This window comes from Homo sapiens, chromosome X (assembly GCF_000001405.40).
Source record: "Homo sapiens chromosome X, GRCh38.p14 Primary Assembly".
NCBI classification, from domain to species: domain Eukaryota; kingdom Metazoa; phylum Chordata; class Mammalia; order Primates; family Hominidae; genus Homo; species Homo sapiens.
In genome coordinates this window covers 111904032-111922675 of record NC_000023.11, presented here as the reverse complement: position 1 = coordinate 111922675, position 18644 = coordinate 111904032, and the positions used below count along the sequence as shown (strand labels likewise).

The 18644-nt window shown below is 41.5% G+C and overlaps 1 protein-coding gene across 3 annotated transcripts in view, besides 1 other annotated feature; it reads left to right on the top strand.

Moving 5' to 3' along the window:
- TRPC5 (transient receptor potential cation channel subfamily C member 5) overlaps positions 1–18644 on the top strand; it is a 314766-nt gene that overhangs the window by 160101 nt on the left and 136021 nt on the right. For all 3 annotated transcript variants that reach the window (NM_012471.3, XM_017029774.2, XM_047442413.1), the window contains one exon: positions 9864–10385. In NM_012471.3, the coding sequence (NP_036603.1) occupies positions 9864–10385 (522 nt within the window). The remainder of the gene's footprint in view (positions 1–9863; positions 10386–18644) is intronic.
- Positions 9630–10129: an enhancer, noted in NCBI's record as "H3K27ac hESC enhancer chrX:111155775-111156274 (GRCh37/hg19 assembly coordinates)". NCBI's record gives its function as "activates a minimal SCP1, AML or CMV promoter by ChIP-STARR-seq in primed H9 embryonic stem cells {active_cell/tissue: H9 hESC(primed)}" and the evidence as "EXISTENCE:reporter gene assay evidence [ECO:0000049][PMID:30033119]".

The window sequence follows — 18644 nt, the reverse complement described above, 5'->3', positions numbered from 1 at the left end:
TTTTTACCAGATTCTGAGAAACAGATACTTTTCCATCTCATGCCAATGGTTGCTCCAAAGTAACACATACATCACCACTACTAGCTAACTAACCTGATAGATAGGCAGAGCAGGAAGCTGGTAATGTGAACTGATTAGATGCTGGTGTTTTTCACTTCTGAGTAATACAGAGAAATGAAATTTCATTTCCACACGTTCCTTGGACTGCTGAACACTGATTTTATCTGGCATGTTAGGATGGAGGGAGGAGAACACAGAAGGTGAAAAAAGAGGGATTACAATTTCACTAAATCCAGGCATAAGACAGGAGGTTCATTTTCAACATGATGCTATCAGACCAGCTGTGTGAGGAAGTGCCAGTTGGAGAGGTTGGGTCTGTGAGCAGACAACATTGTGTGTATGAATGAGGCGGCTCCTGATAAGGGTCTGGCCATTAATTACAAATGGGGGATTTAATTTCAGAAGCCTGTGATAAACTCCACCAAGGGTAACGATAGGGTTCAGAAAAACTCCAATTAGCAGATTGTGTCCAGTGATGAGGTTAATGGAAATGAATGTATCATTTGAGCCCTTGGTGAATAACCTTGTAAAAGCTTTAGCCATTTCTGACAGTGGGGAAAAAGGAGTATGATCTATCCTCTAGGCTGTCCTCTGGCAATAGAATTTAGCTGAAAATACAGAGAAGCTGACTGTAGCTCAATCTATTCGCTGCATTGCAAGTGTTTTATGTGATGAGCTCTGAGCTGAGTGGCTCTGTCCTATGCTCATTCATCCAGAAGGATCCTTGAACAGGATCCTAGCTTTTCTACAAGGAATCCTTGGACAGATCCAGTAGCAAACTCATTATGGCCTGAATGAAAAGTCCCAGGGAAAGGCAAGACAGTGTAACTTCTTTAGTGGCCATGTCCTTAGCCCACATCATTGCAAATTTTAAAATTCAATCGAGTTGGTTGATGTACCAGGTTTCTTTAGAAGTACAGTTATAGATAATATAAGCCAAATCTAAATTCTTGGCCTATTGATTTCCTTCCCTCTTCCTCACCTCCCCCTATCTTTATTTTTCCTTTTAAAAAACATGATTTTAAACAGAAAGTCCAAGATCTTTCAGTATGATTTTGGAGTTTAAAGAGAAGGCGAAATTTGATAATAAATAATCAAATTGAATTTTTCACCTGACCTCAATCTGAACACAAAATGGCTGTTAAAAGATAATTTCAAAAAAAAAAAATGTTAAATCGTAATCTTCATACAAATTTAAAGTAAACATGACAAAGATTTTATTCAACTCATTAATTAATGAGGGAACCAGTAGGTAGGCCAAGAGTCTGCAAACTATGGCCTTCAGTCCAAATCTGGCCTGTCAACTGTTTTTATAAATAAAATTTATTGGAGCACAGCCATACCCATTCACTTACACTTATGGCTGCTTTCATTTTACAATGAAAATGAAAGTTTCATTTCATTGTAATGAAACGACATTGTAATGTAATTTGTTGTATGGTCCACAGAGTATCAATTACTGTCTGGCTTTTTACAGAAGAAGTTTGCTCTCCCATGATACAGGCTATTGGAAACATAGAAATAAACTCACAAATGGATACAAAGTAGTCTATATCCACAAGGCAATAATCAATTATATTCCACCCAATAAGAAATAGTTGCATTACAATTTATAGAGTTTTAAATTAAGTCAAAGAGAATCAAAGGCATGGATAATCCAGAAAATATACTAGACAGGACCTCTAGTTTATGTTTTTTCATGATCCAAAGTCTTTCACAATTTTTCTTAATAGCTACTAGGAGAAACCTTATGTACAGAGCCACCAGTAGTAGCAGAATCCACTCTATCTGAAAGTGGAGTAGGAATCAAGCTGTACAGTGGATTGTGAGGCCTGAGAAAGACCTTCACCAAACTTAAGTCCCTACCAGCCTAGTCCTCCTTGAAATTCTCATTTTTTTTGGCTAATGCCAAGGTGTTCTTTCTAGGTGCCACCAGTTAAAATGTAAATACCCCCCGCTCAGGACAGCTCCAGATATTGTTATCAATATTAGTAACTTGTATGGATTTTTTTTTTCAAAGAATAGCAGACCAGTCACCTAAAGGGACCCAGAAGTCCAGGGACCTGGATGGGAAACTGATACAATTTAGTAAACCTAACCTAAAATATAAGAACAATCCATAAAAGGCAGTACTGATTAAGCCTGCACAGGAGGCTTGCAAGACAGCACTGGGTTAACTTGTATTAAGTTAGGTAGAACATTAAAAAGTACACAAAATAGAATTGAAGGGGGGTGCTCTTACGGTTTCCATATGTCACAGTTTTGCCCAGGTGAAGACTAAACCATTACTGTGCTGGGGAGTTTGCTTTTGATTAAGATACATTTTTTTTGTTGTTTTGTTGAGACAGAGTCTCGCTCTGTCACCCAGGCTGGAGTGTAGTGGTGCGATCTTCACTCACTGCAACCTCCATCTCCCGGGTTCAAGTGATTCTCCTGCCTCAGCCTCCCGAGTAGATGGGATTACAGGTGCGCACCACCATGTCCAGCTAATTTTTGTATTTTTAGTAGAGATGGGGTTTCACCATGTTGGCCAGGCTGGTCTCGAACTCCTGACCTCAAGTGATCTGCCCACCTAGGCCTCCCAAAGTGCTGGGACTACAGGCCTGAGCCACAGCACCTGGCCACTTTTGTAATACATTTGTTGTTATAATGATAGGAACCATGTTTGTTGAGAACCTAGTATGTTCTAAAACAAACTTATCAAACCTGCGACCTGCAGGCCACATGTGGCCCAAGACAGCTTTGAATGTGGCCCAACACAAATTCATAAACTTTCTTAAAACATTATGAGATTTTTTTGGGTGATTTTTTTGTAGCTCATCAGTTATCATTAGTGTTAGTGTATTTTATGTGTGGCCCAAGGCAATTCTTCTTCTTTCAATGTGGGCCAGGGAAGCCAAAAGATTGGACAACTCTGTTCTAAACCCTATGTAGAAAATACACACACAATCTCATTTAATCCTTATAATTTTGCCCAGCTGCTGTCATTTTCCCATTGTATAGGCAAGGGAATTGAGATACAAAAAGGCTAGTAAATGACAAAGCCAAGCAAGATATTCTTAAATTGCACTGTGAAAGTGTGTCTGGAATTCATTCCTTCTGGTGAGTTCATGGTCTCACTGACTTCAATAATGGAGCCGTGGAGCTTTGCGTTGAGTGTTACAGCTCTAAAAGATGGCACAGACCTAAAGAGTGAGCAGCAGCATAATTTATTGTGAAGAAGTGAAAGAACAAAGCTTCCACAGCATGGAAGGGGACCCGAGCGGGTTGCCGCTGCTGGCTGGGGTGGCCAGCTTTTATTCCCTTATTTGTCCCCACCTATGTCCTGCTGATTGGTCCATTTTACAGACTGCTGATTGGTCCATTTTACAAACCTCTAGCTAGCTACAGAGTTCCGATTGGTGCATTTTTACAGAGCACTGATTGGTGGATTTTACAAACCTCTTATAAGATAGAAAAGTTCTCCAAGTCCCCACTAGACCCAGGAAGTACAGCTGGCTTCACCTCTCAGAAGCCCTCCTCAAAATAGTGTGGACACAGTCACTCCTCTTTCCATCTCCTGATCATCTGCTGATTTAGTCGCTATCCAAAGTACTCTGATTATCTTGGCCCCTAGATCACAGCTGTCCTCTTCAGCCCAATACGTGTCATCACTCTGGACAACTTCAGCACCCACCCATGTGGACAATGCAGCCAGCATCCTGACCCATCAGCTCCTTGACCTCCCCACTCCACTGACCTCCACATTCACTCTACTTCAGCCCACTGTGCCCATGACCAACCCACAGCTGGTCACCATTCAGCACTGCTCCACTGTGGACATCATATCTACTAGCACCCTACTCTCTGTCCACAGTCTCCCATCCTCCCAGTTTGCCTACTCTGTCTTTTCACTTCAAAGAGACCTCAAGTCCCTCAATGTCTCCATTTCCTCCCAGACTTTTAGCCCTTACCTATCTGATCTGGTCTTCAAGTGCAATCACCTGAACTACTTCATCCTCAACTTCTTCTCACGTCTGGCAAAACCACAATCCTGAATCTATCCAAAACCTGAATTTTCCATCCCCACATCTGGACTGTCAAAGCTGCTAGAGAGAAAAAAAAAAGCCACATTCTTCTGTGCATCACTGCCATTATAAATTTACAGCTGCTAATTTACCCAAGACTTCAGGACTGCTAGGCCATCCTTTTACTTTCCTTTGTCTTCCTCTTTCTTTCCCCTTAGCAAATCTTCCATACATTGAACTCTCCCCACACACCCTGCCAACTTCTCCTCCCTCACTCAAAGCATCTGATCTCACCTCCCATTTCAATGAGAAAACTGCATTTTTAGATGGGAAATACTTCAGCTTCCAGCCCTCTTCAATAACAAACTACTAACACCTCCATTCAACTCACCTTTTTTCCTCCAGTCTCTGAGGATAAGGCATCCTTATTCCAGACTAAGATCAACCTCCACCTCACCCCAACCTTTGCTCTGGACCTCATCTCTCCTCATCTCTTCAGGCACCCTGATCTACCCACAAGCCCCCTCTTTCCCTTGTCTACAGCCTCTTCCCTCCTCCCCGGGTCCTCCCCCAATCTAATCAAGGTGCTCAAGATGCAGCCTCATCTCTTCACAGCCACATTTCATTAAAGAGGCTTGGGATATTAGGCCAGAAACTCAGACAAGGGTGAAGCCTTGTTTTAAAAGCTAGGGCACAGGTGCAGAAGAAGCTGCAATTCAGAAACTAACAGAACAAGAATGTCCCATTGCAAAAGCCTCAACAGTAGGAATTTGGAATGATGGAACCTGAGGCAGGCCTCCTGAGTGCTTCTTATTTCAGGCCTTGGTTGCCCTGGAAACTGGGGCTGGACAGAGTCCTTGGAGTAGATAGGTGGAGCCACTTGTGAGGAAACAAGGGCAGGCAGAGGCTGATCCTGTCCACTCTTGGTTTCAACTACTATTGCTGGCTGAAGGCTCTCACATCTATATTTTCAGCCCTGACTTCTCCTTCAAGATTCATGCTGGAGTTATACAATTTCCTGCTGCTTTCCCAGTAGGGACTTCAAAGTTAACAAGCACAAAACTGAACTTTTAAAAACCTTAAACCTGCTCCTGTATGCACTATCTCAATTAGTGACACTACTGTTCAACCAGGCATTGGAATATGGAGACTCAATACCCTTGATTTCTTCTCCCTGCCTTCCCTGACACATCCAATGAATGCCTTAAATTTGTTATTTTTTATCTATCTCTAGAATCACTATCTAATTTAAGATCCTTGCATCTATTCACCTGAACTGATGATATCTTTTAATTAGTCTTATTCTGAAACACATGGTGGTGTGCTTGGAGCTGGCTTGCACCAGCTGGCGAGAGCGGGTTATCTGCTCCTCTTCCCAACTCCATGTTCCAGGATGTCATATTGGTAGCATGAAACTGGCCACAGTGGGAGTATTTACACCACAAAAACTGGCAAACACACAAAACAGGATATTTTTTCCTCCCCTGTGGAGAGCTGGTTGTTAAACATTTATGAGCATGATTACCACTGCCCATTTCCCACACTGTGGCCAAGCTAATCAACTATGCCACTCTCCTGATTAAAACCCTCAGTGGTTCCCCGTGGTCAACAGATAACATATAAATTCCTTAGCATGGCATATGAGGCCTTTTATCATTTGGCCCTTGCCTAAATATCCAATTTCTTCTCCCATCTCTTTTTAGTCTCACAACTTATGTGCTAGCACGAAGGTCACAAACTGGTTCACTGGAGCCAAATTTGTTTCACATATGTATTTTGCTTGGCCTGCACACTGTCTTTAAAATTTTTGAGCCAACGTTTATAACTTTAAGAGCTTCTACCCCCAAATCCATGTTTCCGGCTTCTTTTCAAAAATTTATAACACTGCTCCTCACTTGTGTTTATGACAATTTACAGGAGCTGAGTAGTAGCTGCCCCCTTTGAGAGGGTCTCTGCAGTTTACCAGTTTCTATCATTCACTCGCCCAAATTATGCGTATACACCTACACCTGGTCCTGATTTCTGTTACCTGTTTGGCCTGCATTTTAGATAGATTATTATCAGAATCTTCTAACCCTCATTATAGAACTTTCTCTTCCTTTACTTTGGCTGTCCTGATGATAGTCCGTGGTCTCTGCACAGCCTGGGAAGGAATAAAAACAGCAAGATGATGAAGGAGGACAAAGCAGAAGGGGTAGAAGGAATAAAAAGAAACCCGTAGTCTATGGATCAGTCCCCACTTTGAAGCAATAGAATTGTGAAAAATACAGGCAGAAATGTCCCAAGTTTGTGAGACCTCGTAGTAGTTCCCTGCAGAGCTAATCATCTAACCCTTCTTGGAGTCTTGGGATGTCTGCCTTCTCAGCTGGACATGGGAAGGAGAGGTCCAAGGAAATTAGCTCATATTGACCCAAATTGTGGGAGTCAGGTTTATAAACAATAGAGTCAATTTCTCTTTTCTTTTCTTTACTTTTTTATTGGAGACAGGGTATCACTCTGTTGCCCAGGCTGGATGGAGTGCAGTGGCATGATCACAGCTCACTGCAGCCTCGACCTCCCAGGCTCAAGCAATCCTCCCATCTTAACCTCCCTACTAGCTGGGACTACAGGTGCTTGCCATCACACCTAGCTAATATAATGTTTTTGTTTGTTTGTTTGTTTGTTTTTTAGAGACAGAGTCTCACTATGTTGCCCAGGCTGGTCTTGAACTCCTGGGCTCAGATGATCCTCTCACCTCAGCCTCCCAAAGTGTTGGGATTACAGGCATGAGCCACCACGCCTGGCCCAAGAGAGTCAATTCCTTAATGTGAAAACAGGAAATTTAATTTATTTTTGCTGAGTGCCTGCTGTGTGTCTAGCACTGTGCTAGATGCCATAGGGGAAACAAGAGCAGACCAGGACAACTCTGCCTTCAAAGAGCTCATAACCTTATCAAGGAGGCAAAAAGTACGTGTGTGAAGTAATTTGAGAATAATGTAAGACAGCATCAGAAAAGTGATTTTCTTGCATGTAACCTTGTGCCCACAGTATTTGAGCGGGCAGCAAGAGATAAGCTCAAAGTTAAGAGGAGGAGCTATTGAAGAAGCCAGAACTTGCAATGGCCCCTGAGTGGCAGAGAAATGGGGCGAGAGACCATTCCACACAGGGGATCCACAAGGATATACACACAGAAAGCAACCTGTGAGTGACAACACTGATAGGAGGAGAAAAAGCAGTCTGGGCGGGAGGGCAAGGTTGGTCACTGTAGACCAGTTTTCTTTTTAAAAGGTTTCCTCTCTGGTGTTAGGTACTCAGGAAGCCGAATGGAGAATAATAAAGTTCCTTGTTAGACAATATAATCGAGTAGTTTCAGAAAGCATTTCATATTCTAGGCATAGACAACAACAACCTTTTGGCTCTATCATACAAGTGGGGCTAAACACTATTCACGGGTACTGCTGTGTGTATTGGACAGGACTGGCAGCACTGCCTTAGAAGAAAAGAAAGGAAAAGAGTAAGAAAAGTAGAAAGAATAAGGAAGTGGCGGGGAGAGAGAGAGAGAGAGAGAAAGAGAGCGAGGAAAGAGGAATAGCATGGTAGGAAGCAGACCCATACCCATAATCGAACCCAGGGAATCCTGTGCTACAGGTTAGCCTCTCTTCCCTTCTGCTCAACACTTTTAGACCCTGACAGAGATGAGGAATGCCTCTGCCTGGAGAAAGGGCAGATTTCTCATCTGAGCTCGCTTCTTCCTGGGCAGACTGTGACAAATTTCTCACTTCCCCATCTCTCCCAACTCTAGGCTTTATGCTGATAGTGTTTATGTTCATTTCCAGACCCACTCAGACCTACTTCTTCCTTAGCCTGTAAGCTTATGTTAATTTCTGAGATTACTCTTTCCTGTGTCCAATTTACTTTATGAGCCAGTTGCTCACTTCCTGCTGTCTTGTTTGTAGCTGCTCCCTCTAAATGTTTAACAGTGTTTACTCGCTGCTCCATCCTAGCCATTAATGACCATTATGCAGTCATCTTTCAACTATTCAGAGGCTGATGCAAGCACTCAGTGAAGGAAACAGGTTTCTTGCAAACTCCTCCTCCTCCACCTTTCTCCTACTGTATGTTTTCTGGCCACTTCCCTGTTTGAGAATCCTGCGTGCAAGGTGGGAGGGAGGCAATGATGTTGAAAAACAGTTAACTCATCCCTTTGTCAGTTCGCCAGTAACTGTGGGTTGTTGTTTTATTTTTTAAAGGAGTTTTGAGAGTAAAAAGAACCTATTGATTAAAACACGATTTGTCTCTCTGCTTACATTTACAGAGATAAAAAAATCTAAAACAAAACAAAAATCCCATGATTTGTCTATTCGATGAGACTCCCAATTATCCATGGTCTGTCCTACCCAGTTAAAATGAACATTTGGAACTTTTTTTTCCTAAAGTGTAATAAAAATCAATATTTCCCAATTTTCTGGAATCCTAGACATGTTTTGAATACTCGGCTCCACCTCTTAAAGCCTCTGTTGCCTCTGTTGACTATTCCAGCCCTCCCCTTCTCTAGCTCTAGATCCTACCACACTTAAACTCTTCTGTGAGTCTAGCAAGCTGCCTCAGTTTCCCTACTGGACTGAGAAAAGACTGGGTCCCAAAAGAGACTTTTTTTTTTTTTTTTTTTTGAGACTGAGTCTTGCTCTGTTGCCCAGGCTGGAGTGCAGTGGCGTGATCTCGGCTCACTGCCAGCTCTGCCTCCTGGGTTCATGCCATTCTCCTGCCTCAGGCTCCCACGTAGCTGGGACTACAGGCGCCCGCCACCATGCCCGGCTAATTTTTTGTATTTTTAGTAGAGACGGGGTTTCACCGTGTTAGCCAGGATGGTCTCTATCTCTTGACCTCATGATCCGCTCGCCTCGGCCTCCCAAAGTGCTGGGATTACAGGCGTGAGCCACTGTGCCTGGCAAGAGACATTTTAAAGTCGAAAGATTTTTTAATTCATTGATCAGGTTCTGCACACTCACCCGGAAGTGCTCCTGAATACCCAAAGAAGCCCCCATCTTTCACCTATAGCTGCTATTTACACTAAACATTACATCATGGACATAGCAGTTTTATCAATGGTACTGTTGCTATCAGTATCCCCTCCCCAAGCCGAGAAGTCTTCATTTTCAGAGTACTTCTTCCTGACCCTAACGAATCATCTTTACCTTCCTGGGACCTACAGGAAGTTGGACGAACCCTGTCTGGCCTTGGGCTTTGGTCCCCTGAAGTTATATATATAGTCTCTACTGCTCATTTGGAACTGAGCAGATAATACTATGTACTGTTACCAGTTTTATGAAAGTTTGCTCTACCCAAGTAATTCTCCAGGAGGTCAGGAAAAATGTCCTTTACTTCTCTGTATTCTCCAGTATGTCTCAGACAGAAATGGGCATGTTGTCATTGCATAATTGACAATTTGACTCTAGAGCTTGGCTCTAGAGTCTTGCTTGGGTTTGAATCCTGGCTCTGCTGACTAAAAACTTTGTAACCTTAGGTGTGTTCTTTAATCTCCCTCTGTCTCAGCTTCTTCATATGGGAAGAATATTTACCTCACAAGGTTGTTGTGGAGATTAAATGAGTAAAGACATGTAATGTGCTTAGAATAGTGCCTGGCACACAATAAGCATCCCACAAACATTAGCTATAAGGAAGGAGGTTTAGGAGGTCAAAAGAATTGAAACAAGAATGGAGACTCTAATTCCTGAATCGCCAGCATTTTATAGGCCCTATGCTTCTCTCTCCAAACTTTAATCCTGCCCTTCTATTCTTCTCATTTCTTGTACCTAGGTCCCCACTCTGATGATGGACACGCAGTTCTCTGAATTCACACCGGACATCACTCCCATCATGCTGGCTGCCCACACCAACAACTACGAAATCATCAAATTGCTTGTCCAAAAACGGGTCACTATCCCACGGCCCCACCAGATCCGCTGCAACTGTGTGGAGTGTGTGTCTAGTTCAGAGGTAGACAGCCTGCGCCACTCTCGCTCCCGACTGAACATCTATAAGGCTCTGGCAAGCCCCTCACTCATTGCCTTATCAAGTGAGGACCCCATCCTAACTGCCTTCCGTCTGGGCTGGGAGCTCAAGGAGCTCAGCAAGGTGGAGAATGAGTTCAAGGCCGAGTATGAGGAGCTCTCTCAGCAGTGCAAGCTCTTTGCCAAAGACCTGCTGGACCAAGCTCGGAGCTCCAGGGAACTGGAGATCATCCTCAACCATCGAGATGACCACAGTGAAGAGCTTGACCCTCAGAAGTACCATGACCTGGCCAAGTTGAAGGTGGCAATCAAATACCACCAGAAAGAGGTAAGCTGAGCTCATGTCTGCTTTCAGGGAAGCTTAAAGCCTCCAAAGTCTGGAGCAGCAGAGCAAGAATCAGCATTTTTCTACCATTTAGCCCCCTAACAAACAAATGGTTGGGCAGGCCTCACAGCTAGGCCCATTTATCCGAGGCACAGACAACCTTTTTGTATTTTCTTTATGGCCAGATAAGTAACCATCTGATTCTTTGGTGGAAAAGCATTCATGCATTTAACAAATGCTTACTGAGCACTGTTCGGAGTGTTTGCGATACAGAAGACAGACACCGACCCTGCTTTCATGGAGCTTACAAGCTGGTGGTGGATATAGAGTAAATGATCACTTTAATGAATACATAATTACCTACTAAGATATGTACTCTGAAAGAACAGTGCTCTGTGAGAGCACATAACAAAGGATCCTATCCTATATACTGGGGACATAGTGGGCAGTGATTACAGGAGGGTCGCTGCCTGGATGCTGGTAATTGTTGGCACAACTGAATCCCTGGCAGCCCCTTAGCGAGAAGGCTAAAAAACACATTTGAAAGATGAAGTCATACTCAAGGTTTGTAGGTCAATGAAAGGCTGAAGCAGGATCTGCTATGGTATGACCTCCAAAATGTTAGGTTCCACGTCTTTGAGGGAGGTCAGTTCAAGCAGGTCACAGGTGAGGCTTTGATTTCCAGTTAGGGAAGATTTACAATCAAACAGGTGTAGTTCTATGCCAACTTATCAGACAGTTTGGGAGAGCCTCCTAACAAGGCTAACTTAGCCCTTTAAGGAAGCAGCATGATACCACGGAAAAAGCAGGGACTATGGAGCCAGAGCAACTGAGGATAGAATTTTAACCCACTAGCTGTATGACCTAAAGAAACTCACTCCTATTTTCAGGGCATTAGTTTTCTCATTTATAAAATAGAGATGAAAATAGTTTCTTCACTTCATAGGGGATTGTGGGAAATAAGAAAAGCTAACATTCAGTGCATGGCACCAGAAGTGCTTTGATGTCCATTTCCATCTCTTTTCCATGCTACCTGGAGTCAAAGCAGCTGAGGGGTGCCTGCCAGCTGAAGGGCAACTGGCAGTGCCATTCCTTCATGGATCAGGCTCTGAGGCAAACGTCATTGTGTGTTTATCTGGTCCCTTTTTCTCAGGCAAAAATAAAACTACCACGCCTTAGAAATGAGGCAAAAAACAAATACCAGGGCAACCTGGAATGGGATAAAAAATGAAAAAGAGCAACATGGAGATCGAAAGGGCTATACTGGAGGAAGTGGTAAATGGTTAGGCCCACCCATGAGTCCCCTTATTTTATTTTTGCCATTTACCTGCTTTAAGTTATTTCAATAAGCCTGGTGTTGTGCTCACCTCCCTGGAGAAGTGTAAAGATAAAATAAAATAGGTAATATACTTACGCACAGCGAAATACCGAGCATACAGTAGCAGTCAATAACTATTAGCTGGGCGGGGTGTGGTGGCTCACGCCTGTAATCCCAGCACTTTGGGAGGCCAAGGCTGGCAGATCATCTGAGGTCAAGAGTTCGAGACCAGCCTGGCCAACATGGTGAAACCCAGTCTCTACTAAAAATACAAAAATTAGCTGGGCGTGGTGGCAGGTGCATGTAATCCCAGCTACTCCAGAGGCTGAGACACGAGAATCGCTTGAACCTGGGAGGCAGAGGTTGCAATAAGTCGAGATCATGCCATGGCACTCCAGCCTGGGCGATAGAGTGAGACTGTGTATCAAAAAAAAATTTACTATTAGCGGCTATAATTATTCATTTTTATTTTTACACATGGAGGACTCGTGGTATATGGTCTAATTCTGTGCAGTAAAATGGCAGGTAATAGATATAGTAAAGGCCCATCCTTCTCTTATCCCTCCCTCTCTCCCACAGCCCTGCTGTTGATGTGAAGTATCAGTTATCGTGTTAAGCAGTCTGCCGTATCTACACTTTGATATATGTATATATTTCCATTAAAGATGTATATTATTGTTTCAGTGTTTTTTCACTTTACATAAATTGTTATAATACTGTGAGAAAAAAAATCACAGATATTTGTAGAACATGAATTGCTTCCAAGTGACAGAATGGTTAATGGGAATAAAATAGTTTTTAAAAAATAGATAATTGCAGAATACAACTAAAGTTTACAGTCCTCACCCCACTGAATATGAGATCAACTTTACAATTTTAGGCCCCCCGTTCTCTTTAAAATTGAGAATGCATTTATTTGCAAACAATTTCACTGCAATATTTCATCAATTTTTGTGTTGGTAGGTCACCTTCTGTTGTATGGCTTGACTCCACTTGCTCATATGATCTTCATTTGCCAGTTTTAGTTACCGTTGCATTTGACAACCAATGTGATGACTTTCTCACTCTCATGGGGATCTGCTTGTCATATGATCACTTTTGGATTCTACATTAACTGCCCTCCAATCCTCATTAACCTTCTCATTATTTTTTCCTCTTTCTTTTAGTCCTTTTGCTGTCCAGAAATTTTGTCCCTTGTGTTCTTTATTCCATAATTTCTTATCATTGTTTTTACACAATATCTTTATGCTACTATATTTTCGTATCTTTCTCAACTCTCATCCCACTAATCTGAATGTGCCACAGGGTTTTATTTCTTCTTGTTCTCTTGATTAAGCATCAGAGATTCCAACATTGTTTCCAGGGTCCATTCCTGTGTACATTGAAGTGGACTTTTTATTGTGGTAAGATATACCTAATATAAAATTTCACATTTTAACCACCTGTAAGTTTACAGTTCAGTGGAATTAAGTACATTCACATCGTGCATCCATCGTCACTAGGATGCATTTTTGAAGATGCACAAGTTTTGGAGTGTCTATTTTACTTTCAATAGTGAACTTATCTAAGCATAGTTTCATATTTCACAAGGACACACTTAAAAAATTAATTAATTAATTTATTTATTTATTTATTTATTTATTTTTGAGACGGAGGCTCTCTCTGTCACCCAGGCTGGAGTGCCGTGGCACAATCTCAGCTTACTGCAACCTCCGACTCCTGGGTTCAATCGATTCTCCTGCCTCAGCCTCCATAGTAGTTGGGACTACAGGCGTGCACCACCACACCCAGAAAATTTTTGGTTTTTTTTTTTTTTTTTTTTTAATTAATTTATTTATTTATTTATTTATTTTTAGTAGAGACGGGGTTTCGCCATGCTGGCCAGGCCGGTCTTGAACTCCTGACCTCAAGTGATCTGCCTACCTGGGCCCCTCAAAGTGCTGGGATTACAGGCGTAAGCCACCACACCCAGCCTATTTTTATTATTTTTGGAGACAAGGTCTCACTATGTTGCCTAGGCTGGTTTCAAACTCCTGGCCTCAAACTCCTGGCCTCAGGTGATCTTCCCATCTCAGCCTCCCAAAGCACTGGGATTACAGATGTGAGCCACCATGCCCAGCCAGCTAAATTATGTTTAATCCATAACACTGGCAAAGTAGCACCTCTTAACTATTCAATATTATGGATATTCAGCAGTAATTTCAAAAGTAAGTAATCAAAGTAATTTCAAAAGTAAATCACTTTTTGAAAAGTAATTCAAAAAGCACTCTATTTATGCAAAGATCAACAATTTTAGGCCTGGTGCTATTCACTGATATTTGTGAATCAAATAAATGAAAACCATGGTATTTAGTAGACTGAATTATTTCAATCAGGTCACATCAAACTCTAGCTCCAGGTATACAGCCGGGATAGTGAGTGACTGTCAACTTCAATGTCAATAGTGATAAAGAATATAATTCCAAAGAGCCACCGAAACTCAAATATGGCCTAAAGTTTAGCCTCATAGCCAGAGACTTCAGAATCATTTGGAGATTTATATTTATATATTTTGCTCCAAATTTTCCAAGATAAATTATCTTAGCAATGGCCATACATCAATTTTAACATAATTAGTTTCTCTTCAAACTAAGCCACGATGATTAGAAAGGCAGGCTTGAGAAATCATATATATCTTAAAGTTTACACTCCAAAGGCATTGCTTCAGGAATGTAAAACATAATTTATACTCATCAAACTCTATAAATCCCTTCTGAATTGTGACTTCATTTCTAGAAAAAAAAACTGTAATCCTTCCTAATCTGTGAATTAGAGTTTTTTAAAAATATGTGGTTTCATTGAGTCTCAAATGCATACAACCTCTAATTTCTCTCTATTCAATTCACATGTCTGGTTTAAGGCTGAATAATCCCACCTTCTTAAACAAATCAGCAATGTCCTTTTTGGGGTTGTGTTTTTGTGATTTTAACTTTAGCATATAAATTTAGCTCAATGATGTGAGCTACTGAGGTTCCAACAATTCAAGTGTCTGTGAGAACTTCATTCTCAAAAGTCCTTGATTTGAGGAATCAGACTGATAAGTCTGTTCAGTAAATATCCAAAATCTGGTCTTAAAAAAAAATGAAACACTCACACAGTGCTTAGGGCCACAAGCATAAAAAAGTCATGATTTTGATCTTTATTTTATCACATTATATAATACACTTGATTTTTGCAGTATAAACTCTTCTCATGTAGGATTGGATGAAAGTAGGCAAACCAATCTTTCCTTTCGATGCAAATAAATGAATGAAACCTAACTTTATGCTTCCATTATTATTATTATTATTATTTATTTTTATTTTTATTTTTGAGACAGAGTTTCACTATGTCACCCAGGCTGGAATGCAGTGGTGCCATCTCGGCTCACTGCAACCTCCGTCTCCCAGGTTCAAGCAATCTTCCCACCTCAGCCTCCTTAGTAGCTGGAACTACAGGCATGCACCACCACGCCTGGCTAATTTTTGTATTTTTAGTAGAGACAGGTTTTACCATGTTGGCCAGCTGGTCTCAAACTCCTGACCTCAGGTGATCCACCTGCCTGGGCCTCCCAAAGTGCTTGGATTATAGGGATGAGCCACCGCGCCAGTCCTATGCTCGCATTATGTTTATGGCAAGTTAACTCAGCTTTTCCATGTTAGACAAAATTTCTCAAATTCTTTGAAGGCATATAGTTTATGTGTGCTAACTCATCAAGAAAAAAACATATTAACATCTTAAGTGGGTCACACCCCAGGATCTAGTGGAACACATTTACCCTGAGGGTTACATATCAGGAGCCCCAAACCAAGATGGAAAGGACATTTTCTTTTTTTTTTTTTTTTCAAATGACCTTCATACCCGAAAGAAGCCTGTAGGGGAATGGACAAGAATTATTTCCCAGGAACAGAATTATTCAAAGAGAAACAGCCTCTAGATGATAATGAAATAACTGAGCTAAAAGAGAAAAGTTGTCTTTTCCACTTGATTCCATGCTTAATAACAGTTGGACTGTGAGGTTCTGTCTTCAAGGATAGGTAGGATTACTTCCTCAATGTCTGTAATGAGGAATAGGACAGAGCAGAAGCATTACTTCTCCACTCTCTAGTGCCATACCTGATGACAACTTGCTAAATCTTTTAAAGTGTGCTGTGATTCCAACTGGGGAAAAAAATGAAGAAATACCCAGTACAAATGGAATTTTTCTCGATGAGTCGAGGTTTGTGGGGGAGAAGCATCAAGAACTCTGGCACCTGGGATAAGGACCCAAAGATAAGCCAATTCACATCTTAAGTTTCAAATAGACAACATGTCTTTTTAAAACTTGAGATTAAAAGCTGTATTTCACACAGAACATTTTTTTTCTTCATAAAATGTGCTGCAACAGAGCTGATTTCCAAAGCTGGAAGTTGGGGGTTTGCCTACATTAAAAACTTCGAAGTTATAGTTTCAAGAAAGGCGTGTTCCCCCAAGTTTAAGTAAGAATAAGGTTACTAGAATGACCAGTATTTCCAGAATCTGTCATAATACAGAGGTATGTGTATTTACACGCGTTCAACAACAGATTTTGTTAATGACACCTTTTTTTTGTTTTTTGTTTTTTTAAACAGAGTTTCGCTTTGTTGCCCGGGATGGAGTGCAGTGGCATGATCTTGGCTCACTGCAACCTCCACCTCCCAGGTTCAAGCTATTCTCATGCCTCAGCCTCCTGAGTAGCTGGGATTACAGGTGCCTACCACCGTGCCGGCTGATTTTTTTGTATTTTAGTAGAGATGGGGTTTCACCATGTTGCCCAGGCTGGTCTGGAACTCCAGAGCTTAGGCAATCCGCCTGTCTTGGCCTCCCAAAGTGCTAGGATTATAGGCGTGAGCCACCGCGCCCGGCCTGTTAATGACATCTTTGATTAGAGGAATCTGAAACACTAAAGTTATGTTTCATAACTGTGGCCCCCTTGTCCACCTTATATGAATATTTGTGGTAAACTTAAAATTATCTTTGAGATGCCTTCAGTATTTTTCTTTCTTTCTTTTTTTTTTTTTTTTTGAGACAGAGACTCGCTCTGTCGCCCAGGCTGGAGTGCAGTGGCACGATCTTGGCTCACTGCAAGCTCCGCCTCCCAGGTTCACGCCATTCTCCTGCCTCAGCCTCCTGAGTAGCTGGGACTACAGGCGCCCGCCACCACGCCCAGCTAATTTTTTTGTATTTTTAGTAGAGACGGGGTTTCATCGTGTTAGCCAGGATGGTCTCCATCTCCTGACCTCGTGATCCACTTGCCTTGGCCTCCCAAAGTGCTGGGATTACAGGCGTGAGCCACCGCGTCCGGCCGCCTTCAGCATTTTTCTAGGGTCTTTAAGATGAAATTGTGACCAGGTATAAGACTTCAGTGATTTTCCTTATCTTGTAAAATGCAGTTCCAACCTTCATAAGTATAATGGCAGTCACCTCCAAGGATTATTTATTACCCTGAAGAGATGTGATATTGGAAACTGACAGTTTTATTTATCAATACAAGTAATTCACAAATAACTAACTTCAGGAACTAGAAGTCATTTTTTCTTTCTTTAGGGATTTTCTGTTGGTTGGTTGGTTGGTTGGTTGGTTGGTTAGTTGGTTTGTGAACTTTCTGAGGGTTAAATAGACAGAAGAAAACCAGTTTTAAATATGGGCTGGAGGGAGTAGGATCTCTGAAAAAATATAAGCAGTATTCCCAAGAGGTATCACTAAGTACATCTAGTCTATTAAGGTAAGACTGTCAATACAAAAACACAATAGCTTTCATGTAAAAAAAAAATCATAAAAATCAAGTTGGATCACAATGGGTTAATAACGTTCAGAGTTACATAACCCCCTCAGGAACAAAATCTTAGCCTTAAATGGAATATAATTATTTCCTGAAGGGCTTTTTCATATTGTTTTTTCCTCATTATTATTCCTACTAGAACTCAAGTAGACTCCCCAAAAGAATTCAATTTGGTTAAAAAAAAAAAAAATCAGCTCCAAAGAATGAAACAATAGCTGATTCCAAACTCTAACTTTGGCATGAAGTAGAATAAGAAAGCTCTTATCTCTTAGAAAACAGGTGTAAAACTATTGGATAATTATTTCATATCAAATAGACTTTCAGGTATTGTCATACAAACTTTTTGCAGATGGGTGAATTTTCTTTTTAAGTTCTGGGGTACATTTGCAGGATGTGCAGGTTTGTTACATAGGTAAACGTGCCTTGGTGGTTTGCTGCACTGATCAACCCATCACCTAGGTATTAAGTCCAGCATCCATTAGCTGGGAATCCATTCTTGATGCTCTCTCTCCCCACCCCAGCCCCCAACAGGCCCCAGCGTGTGTTGCTCCCCTCCCTGTGTCCATGTGTTCTCATAGTTCAGCTCCCACTTATACGAGGGAACATGTGGCTTCTGGTTTTCTGTTCCTGCGTTAGTTTGCTGAGGGTAATAGCTTCCAACTCCATCCATGTCCCTGTAAAGGACATGATCTTGTTCCTTTTTATGGCTGCATAGTATTCCATGGTGTATATGTACCACATTTCCTTTATCCAGTCTATCATTGATGGGCATTTGGGTTGATTCCATGTCTTTGCTATTGTGAATAGTGCTGCAATGAACATACGCATGCACATTTTTCAGATATTCCTGAAAAGTCGTGATTTCATATATTCTGTCTCAATGCCAGATATGTCATGCCAAAGGCTTTGAAAACTATTATTTCATTTGTTCCTTATTATCACTGAAGGTAAGCAGAAAATTTATTAATAACCCTCATTTTGCAAATGAGAAAGGACTATGTTTAGAGATTTGCTTAAGATCATCTGACAAAGCCAGAAGTATAACTTCAGAATCCTGGTACAACATTCTCTCTTATTATGCTCTGCTACCTTACGTTGAGTGAAGTTCTTGTGGGCCCATTTGGTA